At 51.9% G+C, this 20293-nt stretch overlaps 1 protein-coding gene across 1 annotated transcript in view, besides 2 other annotated features; it reads right to left on the bottom strand.

The window, feature by feature from the left end:
• The window catches only part of NKD1 (NKD inhibitor of Wnt signaling pathway 1), a 100854-nt gene extending 81622 nt beyond the window's left edge, over positions 1-19232 (bottom strand). The window contains exons 1-3 of the mRNA NM_033119.5: positions 19050-19232; positions 18879-18911; positions 18073-18206 (exon numbers count right to left, since the gene is read on the bottom strand). Coding sequence (NP_149110.1) covers positions 18073-18206; positions 18879-18911; positions 19050-19074 — 192 coding nt within the window. The 5' untranslated portion in view covers positions 19075-19232. The remainder of the gene's footprint in view (positions 1-18072; positions 18207-18878; positions 18912-19049) is intronic.
• Positions 18910-19099: a silencer, noted in NCBI's record as "silent region_7487". NCBI's record gives its function as "represses an Ori minimal core promoter by ATAC-STARR-seq in GM12878 lymphoblastoid cells {active_cell/tissue: GM12878}" and the evidence as "EXISTENCE:reporter gene assay evidence [ECO:0000049][PMID:35858748]".
• Positions 19140-19589: a silencer, noted in NCBI's record as "silent region_7486". NCBI's record gives its function as "represses an Ori minimal core promoter by ATAC-STARR-seq in GM12878 lymphoblastoid cells {active_cell/tissue: GM12878}" and the evidence as "EXISTENCE:reporter gene assay evidence [ECO:0000049][PMID:35858748]".

Genomic DNA, 20293 nt, shown 5'->3' with positions numbered 1-20293 from the left:
TCACCTGTGGCCTGTCCTTGGCCAAGGAGGAGGTACAGCTTATAAAATAAGTGAGGGGTGTCCCGAGATCAGAGTGTAAAAGGCACTCACAGCTAAACCAAACTAACTCCAAGACACCTAGAGAAGCCCCTGAAACCTCCCTAGGGCTGGGTTTTCCCATCTATAAATGGGGAGCAATCATCTCAGGGGAACTCCTGAGCAATCAAATGTGATGTCCCCTCTCAACATCTTCTTCTGACAAACGGCAATCACGCCCCTTCCAGGTGCTATTTTCGGCCCCAAAGAAATGGAGACCGGTTTACTGGGAATCTTTCAGAACACAGCAGCAGATCCAGAGGCCTTAAAGGGCTACTGAGTACATCTGCTGGGTGCTCACTGCATGCTAACACTTCAGTGGCCATATGCATTACTTCATCATTTAATCTTTGAAACAACTCCAAACGGTGGGCATTCTGTTCCTCTTTTTATAGGTAAGAAAACTAAGGCCCAGCGTCAACACGGTTCAGTATAAACCCAAGTCTGAAGCCTGGTCCTAAGCTCTATGCACCCCTCAAATTGGGAGATCACATAGGGAAAAAGGAGTGAAGTAATGCAATTAAGTCTTAAAAAAAAAGGGGGGGGGCCATAAAAACTAAAACAGGAGTTCCTAACCTGGGGCCATAGGTGCCCTGAAATTGGAATGACGGATGTAAGAGCATTTATCTAAGGAGAGAGACACAAGAGATTTGGTGGATTCCCAAAAGTGTCTTGTTACTCACTCCTTGAGGGTTAAAAATCATCAACCTATGATCATCATAGAGAGGTCAGAAGCTTGAAAGGAAGGCTGTAACCCAGGTGGGCTGCATGGAGGAGGTGGCAAACCACCTAGGTTCTTCCAAGATCCAATGGCAATGGGTGGGTCAATGGTCAGCTACCTAGCTGCCCTGTCCTTACCCAGCCTTGCCAGCTGCTGACCAGAGCCTTGTTCAGTGATTCTGATTCCAGGGACCAGGCCATCCACAGCTGTTGGCTCCACCCATACAGTGTGCTTTCTACAGCCTTCTCCTCTCAAGTCAGTTTCTCATTAGGGAGGTTCAAGGGATGCGGGGACGGGGGTGATCCCAGCCTCCACTCCAGGACAGGCATGTGACCCAGGACTGTCAGAGGCACAGGGATGGGTTCCGGGATGTGACCCAAGTCAAAACAATGGGAGCTCCGCCTGGGTTTTTGCTGGAACTTTCTTCTCTAACAACTGAAGCTGGGAGTCTGGACTGCTGGGAGCCAAGTTGCCATTACCTGGGAAGGGTGTGCCTAAGGATGAAGCCAATCTAAAAGAAAGCAGAGATGAAGACACAGATTGCTGTCCTGGGACATAGTTTGGGCTGGTGGATCCAGCTGTAACTGAAGTCCACTCCCTGGTTACACAAGCCAAGAACTTGACTGTATGAAACAGTTGACAAGGGCTTGAAATCCAAAAGGTCCCAACGGATCCACAGAGAAAGTTCACACCTACTTAACCACAAGCTCCCCCTGAAGCTGCTTTCCTCCTCGATTTTGTAGACACCAGCCAGAAGGAAAAACTCCAGCTTTGCCAGAAAAATAGCAGAGCCACACCTGGTGATCATATCAGGATGTGCAGTGTGTGTCGGGGGCACAGGGCAAGGGGTGGAAGCAGAAATGCACACTGTTGCTCTAAAGTCGACCACAGGCAGAAGCCCACAAATGATCTAAATGCCCAGTAGTAAGGAATCAATGCAATGATGGTCTATCCTTATAACAGAAGGCTTGATAGCCATGAAGAACAATAAGATTATACATTCTGATATGAAATGATTTCCAAGATAAGTTTAAAAAGTTATGTATTAAGAAAGCAAGGTGCGGAGACAGATGTATACATGAATCTTAAGTTAAAAGAAAATCTTAAGTTAAGGTCTGTATCACTTTTCATTGTAGTTGCTGAGAGACATGGTCTCGCTCTGTCGCTCAGGCTGAAGTGCAGTGGTGCAAACATGGCTCACTGCAGCCTCGAACTCCTGGCCCCAAACCATCCTCCCGCCTCAGCCTCCTAAGTAGCTGGGACTACAGGCACACATCACAAACCTGGCTAGTTTTTTGTTGTTACTGTTGTTATTTTAAGAGATGGGGTCCTGCTACATTGCCCAGGCTGGTCTCAAACTCCTGGGCTCAAGCAATCCTCCCACTCTGGCCTCCCAAAGTGCTGTGATTACAAGCATGAGCCACTGCACCTGGCTTCTATATCACCTTTTTTTTTTTTTTGAGACGGAGTCTCACTCTGTTGCCCAGACTGGAGTGCAGTGGTGCAATCTCAGCTCACTGCAAGCTCTGCCTCCCGTGTTCACACCATTCTCCTGCCTCGGCCTCCTGAGTAGCTGGGACTACAGGCCCACACCTGGGTAATTTTTTGTATTTTTAGTGAAGGAAACACGGGGTTTCACCATGTTAGCCAGGATAGTCTCGATCTCCTGACCTTGTGATCCGCCCACCTTGGCCTCCCAAAGTGCTGGGATTACAGGCATGAGCCACCACACCCAGCCTCTATATCACTTTTTTATGGTTCTCCACCTTAAATGAATTTTTCAATTAACCTGCAAATACCAATGCTTCCTGGTCTTGTTGGCCAAGACAGCTTCTGCTGTCTGTGCAGGGATAAGCATGCACAAACAGAGCATGGCTAGAAGTATCTTGAGGAGCCCACTACAGCAGATACCTCCAAAGGGGGAAGCTGGGAGGTGGAGGTGGGCGGAGGCTTCCTGTGTACTGCATACCTTCAGTACTATTTTGGATTTTCTTTTCTTTTTTTTTTAACCATGCGTACGACTTAATTTACAGAAAGGAAAAAGGTGAGGACCCTTTCTGAAGGGCAGAGGCTCTCTTCAAAGACACAGAACAGCCTGGCTCCATAAAAGAGGTGGGGACTTGGACAGAACAGAACAGAATCCCTGCCTCTCTGGCTGTGTGCCCTCTGGCCAAGCTGCATGGCCCCTCTGAACCTCATCCACCTGGAAAATGTTCTTGAGGATCTGCCATGTGCCAATCAGTGCAAAAGGCCCAGGGATACAAGAGTGAGCCACAAAGAACCTGACCTGTGGACTTTACAGTCTGGCCTCAGTTTCCCCATAATAATAATTTTGATCCTGGCCACATTTTTGTGAATATTAAATGCCTGACAAAGCCCTGTGAGGAAGGCTTTGCAAGCCATAAAGCCCTGGGTAAATCCTGGCTGGAAAACAGCCACCCACTCAATGCTGCTGCCTCCAACTCAGCAGGGAGTTTACCTTCCAGTGCCCCAGACCCAGAGCCAAGAGGACGAGACGCCAGTAGCAGCTGCTGAGCAGAACCTCCAAGGTTAAGAAGGCTAGAAAGGCCCCGATTTGTGACATCACAAGAAGGTGCTCTGATCCAACCATCTAGAAGGAAGACCATGATCATTCCCCACCATGGCCATGGCTGCGGCCAGCCAGGGCTAACCAAGCCTGAACACAGCTATGTTACAAGGAAGGGGGCTCTGGACAGGCCCCAAAGACGGTTAACCAGTACTTCCTGTGGGGGAGAGCTTTCTTTCCATGACCACCTGCTGTGAATCACTCCTTTGCACTCCTTTGACGCCTCCCTGCCCACTGAGGATGGAGTTTAGCCTGACACACAGGGTCTTCTCCATGCATCCAGGGCTGTGCCCACTGAGGATGGAGTTTAGCCTGACACACAGGGTCTTCTCCATGCATCCAGGGCTGTGCCCACTGAGGATGGAGTTTAGCCTGACACACAGGGTCTTCTCCATGAATCCAGGGCTGTGCCCACTGAGGATGGAGTTTAGCCTGACACACAGGGTCTTCTCCATGCATCCAGGGCTGTGCCCACTGAGGATGGAGCTTAGCCTGACACACAGGGTCTTCTCCATGCATCCAGGGCTGTGCCCACTGAGGATGGAGTTTAGCCTGACACACAGGGTCTTCTCCATGCATCCAGGGCTTGCCCACTGAGGATGGAGTTTAGCCTGACACACAGGGTCTTCTCCATGCATCCAGGGCTGTGCCCACTGAGGATGGAGTTTAGCCTGACACACAGGGTCTTCTCCATGGGTCCAGGGCTGTGCCCATTGAGGATGGAGTTTAGCCTGACACACAAGGTCTTCTCCATGGGTCCAGGGCTGCGCCCACTGAGGATGGAGTTTAGCCTGACACACAGGGTCTTCTCCATGGGTCCAGGGCTGTGCCCACTGAGGATGGAGTTTAGCCTGACACACAGGGTCTTCTCCATGCATCTAGGGCTGTGCCCATTGAGGATGGAGTTTAGCCTGACACACAGGGTCTTCTCCATGGGTCCAGGACTGTGCCCACTGAGGATGGAGTTTAGCCTGACACACAGGATCTTCTCCATGCGTCCAGGGCTGTGCTGTCCAATGAGGTAGCCACTAGCCTCATGGGGCTATTTAAGTTCACATTTAAATTCATTCAAATAAAATATATCTTAAAATTTAGGCAGTCTCTGAGTCCCAGTGGTCACATTCTAAGCCACAGGTTCCCAGAGGGGACAATGCAGACACAGAACATTTCCATCATCAGAAAGTTCTACTGGTCAGCACAGTCTAGAGGTCACTTCTACAGCCCCTTCTTCTACCCATTCTACGGCGGGGGGGGGGGGTGGTGGTGGGACCTAGCAGCCCTTTCAAGAGAGGCAGGTGTCAGTGACTGCCAGGGTAGCTCTAAATCCGCTTGCAAGTTTAAGCAGCCACAGTTATGGGGATGTGGGAAGAGGAGAGAGAACCATGGAGCGAGAGCTTGTCATGAGTGAGGGCCTGCACTGGCTTCTCTGTAGGGTCGCTCATTAGGTCCCGCTACACTACAAATGGGGAGTGCCCTCCTCCCCCCTCATCCCTCTCCAACTCCTGCACCCTCCTCTCTCCTTTCCTTCAGGGTCCAGTCGGCCCAGCTGTTGCCTAGTACAGAAAGGTTCTGACTCAGGCTCAGGAAACCCCAAGGAGTCTACATTTTGAATAGCACCCAAGAGATTCAGATGTAGGTGGTCCTCGGCCGCATCGAGTCTCCCCAACTCCACACCCTCTGGCTGCTGTCTTCTCTCTCCACTCCTTCTGATAAAGCTTCTCCATACAGTTGCCTACACATGCTGTTTCCTCATCTGTCATTCACTTTTAAAATACATCACCTTTTTGAAAAATACAAAAAGTAGCACATGCTCATTTTTTGTAAAATCAAACAACCTAAAAATGTACAAAATGAAAAGCAAAATTCTCCATTCCTCAGGGAAATAGTCCTTGACAGTGTACCCTTCCAGATCTTTCTCTATGCACCTGCAGATACACAGTGACACAGGCCTGAATAGACTTTTTCACACTGTAAGAAACAGGACCATGGCCTATGAATGTTTTGCAGTTGCTTTGCTCATTCAGCAGCGTCTCAGGGTCTCTTTCCTGTCAGCAAGAGAGGCCCTTACTCGCTGGGCTTTGACCAGTTGCAGAGAGCTCAATGAGAAGTCCACACCACTGTTACCTTGTACCCTAGTGATGGATGTTTGAGTTGTCAAAAACTTTTCATTCTTCCAAATGCAGCCATGAATGTTCTTGTAAGTATGTGCTTCTGCTCCCCTGCACATATTTCTTAGTCCCTTCGTGAGCCACCCAAGTCTCACCTCTGCTGTCACTTCACCAAGACAGTTCCTGCCAGACCCAACTGTGACCGCCAGGATCCTAAACCCAAGGGACACGTCTCAGTCCTTTTCTATAACTCCACTCTCTCTGCAAGAGACCACCTACTCTCCGGTAGACTGTGTGGATGGCCCCCAGTGAATCCCACTTCCCAGTATTTATGCCCCTGTGTAGTTCCTTCCCCTAAATCTAGGCTGGACCTGTGACTTGCTTTAATGAAGAGAATGTGTTGTTGCTAATTCCAGGCCTAAACCTTAAAGAGTCCTGGCCGTTTTTGCTTCTATACTCTTGGGAAAGACAGCCACCATGTAAATCTGATTACCCTGAGACTGCCATACTGTGAGGAAGCCCAAGCTACTCATGAGGTGAGGCCAACTAGAAGAGAACTGAAGCCCCAGACATGTCACTTATTTGGAGCTGCTGCAGTCAGACCCTTGCTGTTAGAGCCACCCTAACTGTGCTACATGGAGCCACAGACAAGTTGACCCTCCCAGGCTTGGTCCAAAGTGCATACTCTTAAGCAAGTCACAAAGTGATCAAGTCACTAATCTTTGGACTTTTTTTTTTTTTTTACAGCAGTAGAAACAAAGCCTTCTCCTTTCCTTTAATGCATTTTTGAGAGGAGGAAGCAGAAGGCAGGAGAGGTCATAATAGATACCTCATAGCTAAGCTGGAGGCACCCCCAGGCTCAGGGTTCCCAGCGCAGCATTGTGTCCAACCCCTGATGACTGAGCCATGTCTGTGTTTCTCCTGGGATGAAGCTGCTGCTGTTGGCTTCTCAGGGGAGAAGCCATGGGCCCCCCCTCCATGGGACTGCTCATCCTCTTCATTCCCTAAGCAAAGGGAGTGAGCCAGCAGCAAGCACCCACAGCATCCCTGGGAGCACTGACCCAGGCCCAAAAGTCAACAAACCAAACAGCTCAGAAAGCACAGAGAGGTCAGGAAAGTTGCCCTAGGTCACACTGCTAGTGAGAAGTAGAGCCAGGGCTCAAAACCAGGCATTCAGGCTCAGGGCCTGCACCAGTGACCCACACCAGCGTTTTTCTAATACTCTGATTATGACCTATAGTAAGAATTATATTTTACAATATGCCTCTGCTGTAGATAGATAGATAGATAGATAGATAGATAGATAGATAGATGGGTTTGGGTATAGGTGTGTGTAAAGTGTGTGTATACATTTTTTTTAACTAGAACAAAAAATTACACAAAACAATATTTACTCTTACTATATATAATGTTTTCTCATATTTTTACTCTATTTCATTTTGGTCACTAAATTGATGTCATGAACCATGAATGGGGCTGAGACATACAGTTGAAAAAAAAAAAAAAACTCGCCTAAACTGATTTAAGATGGCTCTAAAATCACACTGAGTGATCTGAATTTGAATCTTGCTGAAGCAAGATTCCACTTCCAAGTTAAGTGACCTTGGGCAATATGGTTGACTTCTTTAAAGCCTCAGTTTCCCTATGGGTAAGATGGGCATAATAATAACAGCGGCCTCATAACAGTGCTCTGAGAATCCAGCACTATGAACAGTGCTTGGCCCAGAGCCTGGCACACAGCAGACACGCAGCAAGCAGCAGCTACGCTGTTACCACCTCCTCCTCGGGCTGCAGCTCCCAGACTCAGCACGGGGCTATGCACACAGTGGGCAGCTCGCGGGCACACTGAGCCTGCAGCCACTGAGAAAGCAGGCACGTGCCCAGGACCAGCTGAGGCAGTGGGTGCCTTTGGACTTTCCAGGGCAGGGAGGAAGCAGAGAAAGTCCCCAGTGCCCGCTGAAAAGGCAACTTTGTTCCTGGATTATAGTAGTTCTCTTCAATCATCTTTTTGCCTTTGAAGGGGGAAAGAAGGGTAAAACAACAAAGTCAGGGTCAAAAACTGTCCTGGAACAAGGCTCCCTCTGGAAACCAGGCATGGAATGGGCATGGCACCACACACCAGCACCCCCAAACCCACTCACTGGAGCCACCGCAAGCCGAGGCCTCTGAGTGAGGGGCCCACCAGCCCACGCAGCCTTCTGAAGTTAGAAAAACATCCTCCGGCCTGAGCCCATTAGGGAGGCTGTGGCCTGAGGGAAGACAGCCCCATCCTGCTAACAGGGTCCTTTTATGCTCTGCCTCTCCCCTCCTCAGGACCCCAGCTCTATGCTCAAGGCCAGAAGGCTTGGGCAGCCCAGCAGGCCAGCCAATCCGCTCCAGGGTGACACTATTTCTTGTGACTGAGAGGTTCTCCTCCCTACCTCTTCCAACCTGACCAGAAAGCTGGAGTCCACAGACACCAGTAACACTTCATGGAAGACTTGCGGCAAGGAGACAAGGCCTCATGACGGGATGCAACATACAGTGGTACCACCCAGCCCAGCAGGCACTGCCCACTCCCTGCTGCTGCACCACATAGTTCTGCTCTAACACCTCAGAGACTGGAATGTGGTTCCAAGTCAGACACCGAGAAGGAGGCTGAACACTTTCTCTGTGCACCAACCCTGCATGCCTCTTGCCCTTTGCACATCCCGTGCCTTCTGCCTGGAATATTTTTAATAAACCTTTCCCCACCTAGCTATTTCCTATTTATTCTTTGGGTCTTAACGACTTACGCATCACTCCCTAATCTGAAGTAGAATCCTCCGTTATTCTCCTTCCCCATCCTTTTCCTTCACTGCACTTAGCACACTGGTACCACACTGAGCACACATCCAGGTGATCACTAGCAAACAACACTGGCAAGCTGCAAAAGAAGGGGTGACATCTCCTTTATTCTTTAACTTGCTGAAATGAACCCATTTCTACCCTTAAAACAACCCAATGAGGTAGGAACCATTACTCTACCCATTCCACAGATGTGAAAACTGAGAATCAGAGATGAGCCATCACTTGGCCCAAGGCCACCGAGCTGGGGAGAAGTGCAGCTGGGACTCAGACCCAGGAAGTCTGATTCTGCAAGTTCTAAGCACACCTCTGGCACCTTCTATGGGCACATGCTGGTCTTCAGCATAAAGTCTCCCAGCCCACATCTTTGTTTTGTTGTTTGTTTGTTTGTTTGTTTGTTTGAGACAGAGTTTCACTCTTGTCACCCAGGCTGGAGTGCAATGGCACGATCTTGGCTCACTGCAACCTCCATCTCCCGGGTTCAAGGAATTCTCCTGCTTCAGCCTCCCAAGTAGCTGGGATTACAGGTGCCTGCCACCATGCCCGGCTATTTTTTTTTTCTTTCTTTTCTTTCTTTTTTTTTTTTTTTTTGTATTTTTAGCAGAGACGGGGTTTCGTCATGTTGGCCAGGCTGGTCTCAAACTCCTGACCTCAGGTGATCCACCAACCTCGGCCTCCACCAACCTCGGCCTCCCATCCCAGCCCACATCTTTACTTACCCTTCCTGTGCCTCCCACATTGCTCTCCCACCAGACTGAAATACACTGTGCACAGCTTCCTGGCAATGAGCCTTTGCTTGGCCTGCACTCTCTGCCTTGGATGCAGCCTGCATCCAGCTCTCCCTGGCTGGGCTAGTGACTCTAATTTGCTGGGCCTGCCTCCTCATCTATGCGATAGCGGAATAATACCTAAGGCAGTTGTGAGGATTCTACAAGAGAATGCATGGAAAGTATTAGGCACAATGTTGAGTCCATATGATACTCACTCGTGTGTCCTTTTATCACTAACATACTGCTTCTCTACCACCACCACCATCAGAATCTTAAAGGTCTAAATCAGCAAACACAAGCCAGTGTACTAACAGGCCAAATCCAGTCGTCTGAGTCACCCAAAGAAGGTGTTTTCTAAAAATTTTAATTGGTTAACAATAATTTTTTAAATTGGAAAAGTTTCACATAAAAATTCAGACAGCTGGATTTTCTTAATGATCAGCCCGTGTGGCAACACCAGGGCCATATTCCCACATGGCAGTGATTGGCTGGGGTTGAGTGGCACTGCCCCCTTGAGGCAGGGTGTGTGTTCCCCGGGGGCACCCCGGTTCCCACCCCTCTCAGATGTCTCCCACTGAGCCTGTGGCATTCATTCATATGACCTCTCTGGCCCCTGTAGGTCCTTAAGTTTCTAACCCCTGATCTCAGTCTTACCATTCTTCAAATCCCTACTCACATGCCCACTTCCTTCAAAAAAACCCTCCCCAACCTCCACAGCCCTGTGCTTCCCTTATGGTTTTATAACTTTAACAGTTAACTTGCACTGAGTACTTCATGCAAAGATCCAAAGTAAAATATTAGCCTATCAAATGCGGTCACATTTAAAAGAATAATCTATCATGACAAAGAATTTCGGAGGGCCAAGAAGGTTGCACTAGGAAATCCAGCAATGTAAATCAAGCATACAAATCACACACCACATTAGCAAAGAATGATGCATTCCATCTGCATCCCAACAGCATGTGACAAAATTCAATAATTATTCCTGATTTTACAAAGCTCAGAAAGCCAGGAGTTGAAGGAAGCTTTCTTAAACAAAAAGTATCATACTTGGTAGTTATTAAACAGAGTATGAGATTCTAACCAATGCAATGAGATTCTAACCAATGCAATAAGAGAAGAAAAATCGATGAAAGGCCATGGGGAGAGCTTAGTTCCACTCTCACAGAGGCAAGAACTATGTCCTAGTCCTCACAATTTCCACAACACCCTAAGCACAGCACGTGGGATAGATAAAGCAGTCAAATATTTGTGGAATGAAAAACACCCCAGATGAGTTCTGATCCCTGGTACATGTTCTCAAAACATCCAGTACTTTTTGGAGGCACATATCACAACTTAAATTGCACAACTTGTTTATGAAAATATTTCTGTTTTCCTACAAGATGGTAAGTTCCATGAAATCAAGGCCTTCACTCTAGGTACCAAGCACAGGTGTCCCTGGCCTAAAGCAGGTACTCAATGCCCACTCCAAGAGACATGAGGGCCTACTGGAGGGTGCAGGGTGGGAGGAGGCTGAAGATCTAAAACTACCTGTTGGGTACTGTGCTTATTACCTGGGGGATGAAATAACCTGCACACGAAACTCCCATGACACACAATTTACCTGTAGAACAAACCTGTACATGTACCTTGAACCTAAAATAAAAGTTAAAAAATATATATAAGGCTGGGCACAGTGGTTCACGCCTGCAATCCCAGCACTTTGGGAGGCCAAGGCAGGAGGATCATTTGAGGCCAGGAGTTTAAGGCCAGCCTGGGCAACACAGTGAGTCCCTGTCTCTAAATTTAAAAAAAAAAAAAAAAAAAAAACCCTACTGCAGATGCATGAATGAATGCACTCAATAGATAGTGCTAAATTATCATGATGTTATTCTACTTCTCAGCTGGAGAATCTGAAGCCCAGGCAGGGAGCCTTTGGCTGAGGCCACACCAATGTGAAGCCCTCTCAGTACCCTGGTGTCCTCTGAAAGGCGTCGGCCACACGCACACGCCACAGCCCATGTGACTTAACAAGTAAGGAAAGCAAAGCCCAGACCCATGCCTCAGAGCCCTCTAAACAAACACATCCAGGACCCACCCCGGCGGGCCAAGCCGCCACCGCTCTGAGGCTGGGGATGACTTCAGTGCGGAGACCTGAGGCTTTCCTCCCAGAGCCCCACGACTGGTGCCCACAAGGCTAAACAGCTCCCTTCTGCCTTCCCAGGAAGCTATCAAAGAATTACTTATGTCTCTGGAAGTGCTTGTTTAGAAAAGGTTCTCCACCCCACCTGGGCTTGGCAGGAGCGCAGCATCACCAGGCTGCCCTTCGGAGCTGCTCAGGCTTGCCTCCAGCCCCTGGAGGAGCTCAGCCATCTTTCACACAGAGAGTCGAAGCCATGAAGCAGCGGGAAGCTTCCCAGGATAAACGGAGCAGGGTGACATCAAAGTCCTCCTTCCAGATTAAACAACTGAGGCCTTCAACTCTCGCTTGCGTTCCTTCCAGGATATTCTGGGCTCCTGCCTCAGTTCTCCCTCCGATGGAATGGCAGATATTTTGTTTGTGAGAGACTGAATTTTTTCCTTCCTCAGGGAGAGGGTGGGGGGGAAGGGACGTGGGGAGGGAGAGGAAGAGAAAGAACGTCTGTGAGAGACAAGAGCGGCAAAAAGAACACGTGTGAGTGGGCAAGAGAGAGGGAAGGCAGGGAGGCAGCCAGAAGTGCCTGGTTTGGAATCCAACAAGTGATGTGAAAAGTCCAAAAGTGTCTAAATCCAAGCATCTTGTGATTCGCAGCCATGGGGCTGCAGGACCCCCCAGCTCACCAGTACCGGGGGGCTGCACATCCTGTCTCGGACAGCCCTGCTCAGCCCACATGGGGGACCCTCCTTCCATAGGCACAGGCGCGCTGCAGTTCTGGGGCATGATTAGCTCTCTCTGGGGTTTGCTGGTCACTCCCTCTTGTTCCCTGGTCCCTGAAGAGCCTCCTTCTTGAGCAGCAACCTCACCCCACAGGTCCTCCGCAGCCCTGACAGCTAAGCTTCCAGCCCTGCAGCTGACCTCCTCCCCCAACACAACAGCAGGGCCACCAACCCCAACAGGCCAGGTTGAGCCCCCAAGGACCTGTCCATGACACAGGGGCAGCACGCTCGCTGACTGCCCGCCCTGCTCCACCCAACATACCTGTCCAGGGGGACAGACAGGTAACTCAGATGTGCCAAGAGCCACCAATGCACGAGGCTTTCCACAGACAGTGCCAGGAACCACTTCCAGTTCCCACAGGCTGCAGAGCCATTTGGAGGCCACATTCCCTTCTTGATTACCCGCTTGATTCCACACAGAAGCCTCCCGGCAATCCCCAACCCCATCCTACCAGGGCAGCTTGAGCCTGGGGCCTCGGTCAGCTCTTCCCCCCACCTCCAACTCCTTCCTCCTCTCTCCTCAGCCTCAGCGGCCCATCCTGCCCCCTCCCTCCCAGAGTGCCTCTGTGTGGTCCTAGGAGTGGGCCTGGGTACTCACTGCTGCTTTGTCCCCTTCATCAGACTGGATGCCACAGGAGGGCAGGAACCACATCTCTCTTATTCTCCACTGTATCCCCAGAGCCTGGCCCAGTTAGGGACTTATTAATTCATAATTAATAACAAGGCCAAGTGTGGTGGCTCACATGTGTAATCCTAGCACTTTGGGAGGCTGATGTGGGAGGATGGTTTGAGGCCAGGAGTTCAATCCAGCCTGGGCAACAAAGCAAGACCCGATCTCTATAAAAAATAAAAATGAATTAGCCGGACACAGTGGCGTGCACCTATAGTCCCAGCTACTCAGGAGGCTGAGGCAGGAGGATCACTGTGAGGCCACAGTGAGCTATGACGCCACTGCACCCCAGCCTGGGTGGCAGAGTGAAACTATGTGTCTAAAAAATAATAATAATAAACAAAGAATTATTGATAATAATTTATACTAATTCATTAAGCTGAGTGCCTAAAAGAAAAAGCCTGGTTCCACCCTTCCACTCCAGACAGAAGGACCTGGGAAAAGATGGAATTTGGAAGCAGGAATTAAAGGAAAGAAGCTGACCAGGGAAGAGGAGCTGGGGAAAAAGGAGGCAGGGAGGGTGACCTAATCTATCTTCATTTCTTTCTTCTTTTTTTGCTGCTGACAGTTCAGCCTTGATGTTTCCTGCCCTCGCGGGGACAGTTTGATCCCAGAGTGTACCTGAGCTTCCTGGTACAAACAACAACACTGTCCATCGATCCATCCATCCCCACCTTCCAACATCCCCACTGGGCGAGCAGAGGAAACATCCCCTGAGTTCTAGGACCTTGCAGGACCCACAGCAGGTGCCTCCTGGATTTGATTTCCCCCAGGTTTCCTACAAAAATGTGAATGAAGAGGGTGCTCTTGGGCTCTAGAGAACAGAAGGCATGCACAGTCTGGCTCAGGGGCATCCAGCCTCCTTCCCCAAGAAGAAAAGTCTCAAAGTGAGGACAAGACACTCCTCGAAGCCTCTACCGGAGACCACATCACAAAGACCCATTAAAGCGCTAAGAAGATGACACCCATGGCCGCCACCCACCCATCCTGAGGGACCTATGGAAAACCAGAAGGTCCCCCCACTCCCCAGCACTCTGCCCAGCCCAAGCTCTCCCAGCCTCTGCCTCCCATCCCCCAGGAGGAAAGACAGTGCCCAGGCTGGGCCAGGCAGCTGGCCCTGGTGCCCATGAGCAGAGGGGACCCTCCCTGGAGAACTCGAAAATGCCAGTGAACAAGGCCCAAACACCTCCATCCTGAGTCCTTCTCCAGCCTTAAAGCAAATCATCTTTTAATCCTGAAACACCAAATATTTAATTTATGCTCTACCTCAAATGTCAAGCCCACCTCCCATCACATAGCTTTGAAACCACGTAAAGAAGCCTAACACTTTCCATATGGCAAAGACATGGGGCCTTTTAATTGTGCCAACTGGTATCATTCAAGGGTAATTCCCTTGGAATCTGGCACTCGGGCAACAGCTGGGCCAGCCTCCAATCTCATCACCCAACCCCACACGTCCCCATGGGCTCCAAGTAAGCCTGCACCCTCCTCATCTTCTCCAAATATCAAAGTGCACTAGGTACCCCCAGTCAAATTACCAAACTGCCTGGCAGCCGCCTTTGATCCAGAGGCGGGCTTGCCTGCACCACGGCTCTCAGCCTATTTCTTCAGGCAGCTCTGCTGTAAAGGAACAAAAGGGCCAACCGGGGCCATGGGGAGATTATTTTAAATCTGGTTGTACATATTCACAATCAGCCTGTGAGCATATACAGAGGCACACAGGTCTTCACCAAGTGTTTCCCACCTGATACCTGAGTCCACTGCACTATTTAATCTATCTATTAAGCTTTTTCACTTGTCCATTCTATTTTCCACACCCAGTGTTTCCAATTGGTTTTCTTCTCTAACTGCCTGTTGCTGCTTCATGTTTCCAGCATCCTCCGTTTCTCTCTGAGTTTATGATGCTTATTTTGCTTTCTAATTGTTTAACATGGTGTTCTTTGCCGCGTGTGCTGATCAGTTTATTGCTCCTCTTCCACAGTACTCGTGCGCCTCCCATTTCTCATTCCTTTTCTCCTATGAGTCCATATTCCCTTGGACTTGCTCATGTCCCCATGGAAAGGGCAAAAGCCCAGCCCTTGGCCTGCGTCCCTCCAAGTGAGCCTGCCATGACAGTGGGGGAGGCAGAGAGCCTCTAGCATTCTTATCCCAGCCCTATCACTCCCTGTTTGTAGGCCCCCATCTCCAACCCTACAAATGTCTTCAGTGAATCTCCCAGTAGGTTCCCTTCCTTCCCAGGTTCAACAGTTATAATCCCATCATAACCCGCCAGGGATGAAAATATTATTACACCCATTTTGCAGATGAGCTAATTAAGGTATACAAGGGCAAAATGGTTTGCACAGGTGACAAATCACTAGGACAGAGCCTGACCTCATTTATTTCTGTATTTAAGAGGGCAGGCTTAGTTTAATGCCAGCATGGTCACCCTTTCACATCTCAGGACCCTGCAGGCAACTTGGACTCATCTGGGACATTTCCCAAGCCCCTCAGACCTCATCAGGAAGGAAGAGGGCAAACAGGGGCCACTCCTGCTTCTGCCTGCCCCACGACTGGCTCATCTCGAAGCACCCCCTCTCTGGGAGTTTTGTATGTAGCACCCTCCAGGCGGATGCCCTGGCACAGGGCTTCTCTACAAATGGCTTCTCCTAGAAAGTGCTCCAGAAAGGGAGAAACACACAGTCCACACCAGCGGGCTGTCAACACTACAAGGTTATGGGGAGGATTAAGATAATGTAAGCAAAGTGCTTGACACATATAGGCACTTAATAAATACTAGTTATCATTGCAATAACAATAATACTAGTTGGATGAGCCACTGTGTCTCCAGCCACTTAGTTGACAGGCCACGTAAAGGACTAGAGGCAGAGACTAGCCCCAAAACAGGCCTGGGGTTGGTGGGAGGACCTCTGCCAGCCCTTGGAAACCAGCAGACTTTGGAGCCCATGCCCTCCTACATCCTGATGATATCATGGAAGAACCTACCAGCTACCCCTTCGGCACCAGAGGGAATCAGGGAAATGAACTAGCCTGAGGGTTGCCCATTGCTGTCCTGTTCAATATCTTAGTGCTTCCCAAACTTGGGGCATTCCATTCCCACATTCACAATTTTGACCACTTGTACTTAATATTTTTCTCTGAATGGACTTCACGTTAGACTCTTTTTTAACTTAGCTTCATCCTAAGCAATAAAATCTGCAAAATCATGGGTTTGATGTCCTAGTTATTTTTTTTTCTGGTAAAAAAAAAAAGATAACTATTAAGATTTAAAATGTTCCCCCAGATTCCACCTGAAATCACCTGGAGGATGCCTGGAGTGCTGTTCCACACCCTGGGCTCCCCCTGAAGTTCTGACTCCTTATCCCTACCTCTGCAGACACACTGGCTGGGCCATCTGGGGCCAAGGTTGGTGAAAACCCAGGCGTCTGGGTCCCCAGCAGCAAGAACAACTCCCAAGGAGACAGAGGCCGGCCCCCTGCATAACAACTTTGATGGCTGCGGCCCACCCTCCAACCACCTGACACATGTCATGCCAACGGCTCTGAGCCTCACATCTTCAAAAGTACTTTGAACAAACATTAATGACCTCTCAGCATTTCTCTGAGAGAGGGGGTGAGGGAGAGAGGGGGACAGGCACCATCCCATGCTGTCCTCAGCTGGGGGAAGAAACTAGGCAACAGAATTCCGTGACTTCACCAAAGCCACAGACTTAAGCTGGGGCCCCCTCCCCACCCTCCCTCACTTCCCCCAATGGCAACTTTAGTGGCCTGCATTCCTCTCGCTGGGAACACTACTATTTAATTAAAAACGACAGACTTTTGTTTTCCTCTCCCTCTTTCCTCCTCCCTCCCATCCTCCCAGACTGGATGCCAAGGAGACCCACCAAAAACATGCGGGTAACATTTGTTATGGCTTTGAAGATAAAAGTCAATTGAAGTAAGCCCTCGCTGTATTTCAAGTTTTCCCTCTAGCATGGAGCAAGCTGCCTGGCAGTTTAGAAAAAAAAGAAAAGAAAAAGAAAAAGGAGGGACTGCAAATAAATGTCATTCTGCAGGAATACTTTGTAAAAATAAACAGGCTGAAAAAACCCAAAACTTGATTAATGGAAATCCACTCAGTTGGCCTCTGTCTGGAGCTGTAAATGCATTTGTTCATACGGCTAAATTAGACCGTTTTCGTTGGCCTTTAAATAAATAAGTAGATCAAAAACTAGAAAGGGCAGGGGAAGAAGGAGAGGTTTGTAGTTCTCTTTTTAAAGGGCCCCAACTGCAGTGCCCCCCGCCCACCAAGATTTGACCTTTACTAGGGGACAGCAGCTCCAAGTCCGACCCGGCCAACAGAAGACAGAGAAGCCCCCAGCTAAGCAGTGGCGGTGGAGGAGGACAGGGGAGCTTCTCCTAGGCCCAGAGGTTATTTCATCCACACACAGGAACTGACTTTATCCACAGGTCCACCTCCCGACACCAGCACTGCAAGCGAGCTGCCAGGTCCCACCACCCAAATACAAACACATCTGAAGTCTCCACTGGCCTCTCCCCAGCCCATGGATAAGACCAAAGAACTAACCAGACCTGAGACTCAGTCTATTCCCCCTCTAAGTTAAAAAAAAAAAAAAAAATTAAATGTCACATCAAAAAGTTGATTCATCCTTTGATCCTAGGCTTGCGCGAGTTCCACGCAGACTGCCTGAAAGCCCCGTGCAGAGTTCCGGAGCTCACAGGACATCTGTGAACGCCAAGTCCCAGGCCAGGAGCTGGGGCTGGACTCACTCATTCCCATCACACTTAGTGCTCCTCCAGGAACTCCAGCCTCAGAGACACACGGGGTGAAGGCTCAGGGCTCTGCCCAGGCTACAGTGGAATGAGGCCCTCTATCTCATATGCCAAGTAAGGGGTCTTCCAGGTCTCAGTCCCCCTAGATCTGCTACCCAGAGGGCCGCCTGCTCTACTGGGGTTCCTGTACAGGTGGTACTGATGAATGCCACAGACAATCAGAACATATTCAGATCCTGGGGCCAGCACAGCTCTGCCTTCCACCCAGACACCCCTAATACCCCCTTCTCTCTAGCCCCTACTCCACCTCCACCTTTGAATGCTGGTGGCAGAAACAAGGTAGAAGTCAGAGCAGGCCCCCAAATCCCGCCGGTACAGACACGATTCCCCATCAACTGGACCTTCACCACCTCCCCACCTAGGACCTTTCCCCCAGGCAGCCCTCTGCCTCCAGCTGGGCACTTCGAGGTTCTCCAAGGCATGCGGGCAGAGGGTCGCGTTGGTGGGGCAGGGGGCAGCTGAGAAGAGATTTTCAGACCCAGAAGCTGTGCAGGAAAGTGCTCAAAGTTGGGGTGCATGGGTTTGGGGACCCATCTCTGAGGCTGAAAGGAGGCCAGGAGGTGGGGCAGGGGTGGGGAATCATACCCGGGTGCTTCGGCCTATGGTGCCCGCCAACCGCAGCTGTCGGGGTCCCGAGACACCGCCCGGGCAGCGCTGTCTCCCGATCCACTCCTCGATGCCCTTCCGAGCCCAGGCAGCGCTCACGGCGAAGCTGTCACCTGGGACGGGGACGACATGAAGCCCCTGAGTCTGGCTCCAGGTGCCAAAAGTTACCCCCGCGGAGGGAAGAAGGAGGCGCGGTGGGAGGCGAAGGACCACGGCACGGGGGCCAGGAGGGGGTTCGCGGGCTGGGGCAGGAGCCAAGAGAGGGACGCGGGTAAGTAAAGGGGGGTTCAGCGAAGCCCTAGGAGCGAGGAGCCAGAAGGGGGCAAGAGGGGTGAGCAGTACCCCAGGAGGACGGGTTTAGGATCAGACCAGGGAGCACTGGCAGCCAGGACTGCGGAGGAGAGGGCTGGGGGTCAGGAGAGGGGCCGCAGTAGGTGCAGGAGCCAGGATATCGGAAGAAGGGCCGGGGGGCAGGAAGAGGGGGCAGGGTCTTGCGGGGAGGCGCTTGGGGGTCTGAAGAGAGGGTGCCGTGAGAGCCGAGGGCAGGGACGCGGGAGGGGGAGGGGTTGAGGGTCAGCGGTGGGAGCGCAGGACCGCGGGGAGCGGGTAGGAGGGACAGAGGAGGGGGCGCGAAGGCTGCTCAGGGAGCGGGCTTGGGGGGCCGGTGGCCGGAACTGGGGCTTCGGGGTGGCCCTGGTCATAAGACCTGGCGGGCTGGGCCGTTCTGCCGCGGCCGCGGTGTCCCCCGCGTCCATCCCCGAGGTCTGCGCCCCGCGCGCCCCTACCTTCCGGGCTCTCCCTGCGCTTGCACACGGCGGCTGCAGGCACATCGCGAGGCGGCGGCGGCGGCGGCAGCCGCGGCGGCGGGAGAAGGAAAGAAAGGAAGGGAGAGAGTTAGCGACCGCGGCGGCGACGGCGGCGGGGCCCGGGGCGAGCGCGCGGGCGGGGGCACTGACCCGGCTTGGAGTGAAGTTTCCCCATGCTGGGGCTGCGGCGGCCGGGAGCGTCCCTAAGCCATGCGCCCGGCCCGCGGGCCTGGCGCCTCCCTTGGCTCTCCTCCTCCCGAAGCAGCCCCCGAGCCGAGCGGAGCCCGAGGCGGCGCCGGGACGCGCTCCTGCCGCCGTCGCCGCGGCCCGACTGACGCCCGGGAGCGCCGAGCCCCCAGCCCGCCGCCGCGGCCCGCGCCTCCCCGCGCGCCCATTGGCCGGTGCGGCGCATCAAAGGCAAGGCTGGTTGCGGCGGGGGCGGGGCCGGAGGCGGGGCAGGGCGGGGACGAGGGCGGGGCGCTGACGGGAGGGGCGGGACACAGTCCGCGCTCCCTGCCGCGGTCTGGGGCCGGGGGCCGAGCTCCAGGGCTGGCGACCCGGCGGGGCGGCTTGTCCAGGAGGCGTATTGGGACAGAACAGCCCGGCCATCGCTAACTGTACTGTCACTTCCCTCCGCTCCACGTTCTCTCTAAACGGGCAGGGCGGGACTCGGCGGCTCCAATTTACAGGTGGGGAAACTGAGGTCGGGAGCGGAGACCTTAGCTGCTCAGGTGCAAGCTTCGGCAGCGCTGCCTTTTCCCAGTCTTCCCACGACCTACCTTCTGCAGAAAGTGTTCATTACCCGCCCCGTGACCCGCCCCCCACCACCGCACTCCTCTAGTTTCTTATTTGGGGAGTCCAGGAGGAGCCCCCAGCGCACCCCGGGCCAGTGTGAGCCCAGCCCTCTCCAGGCAGCGACAAATGTCCAAAGCGCCCCGTTATCAGCCAGTCTCTGGGATCTCCTCGTCCGGGGGCCCGTGGGTGCCCGCCCGGGTCGGGGCGCGCTGCCAAACTGCGCGGCCCGGAAGGGGGTAACCGCTGAGTCTTTGATCTTCCTTGGTTTCCGCTCCCCGCTGCAGTTCGCCAGACCCAAGGGTTTGTTTGTTTTGTCTGGGGAGGTCTCTGCGGGGAGGTCGCGCGGGGGGAGGGGGATGGTGGCGGTCGACATCAAGGGATTCCACCCCACCTTTGTGGCTCTCAGAACGCCTGCCCCCTTCTGGGGACACTGTGGGTCCGTGTTACGCTCGTCCTGGCACCAGGCAGCTCTGGCGTGGGAAAAGAAAACCCGCAGCTCAGAGTGAGACCAGCCCCGACCTTTGGAGTGAATTACCTGTGCTCAGTTTTGTGATCTGTATAATGGAGGCTCCATTCTGCCCTTTTTGCCGACTCTCTAG

This window comes from Homo sapiens, chromosome 16 (assembly GCF_000001405.40).
Source record: "Homo sapiens chromosome 16, GRCh38.p14 Primary Assembly".
Lineage (NCBI taxonomy): Eukaryota > Metazoa > Chordata > Mammalia > Primates > Hominidae > Homo > Homo sapiens.
Note: the sequence above shows the minus strand (reverse complement) of the source record. Positions and strands in the feature narration are given on the sequence as shown.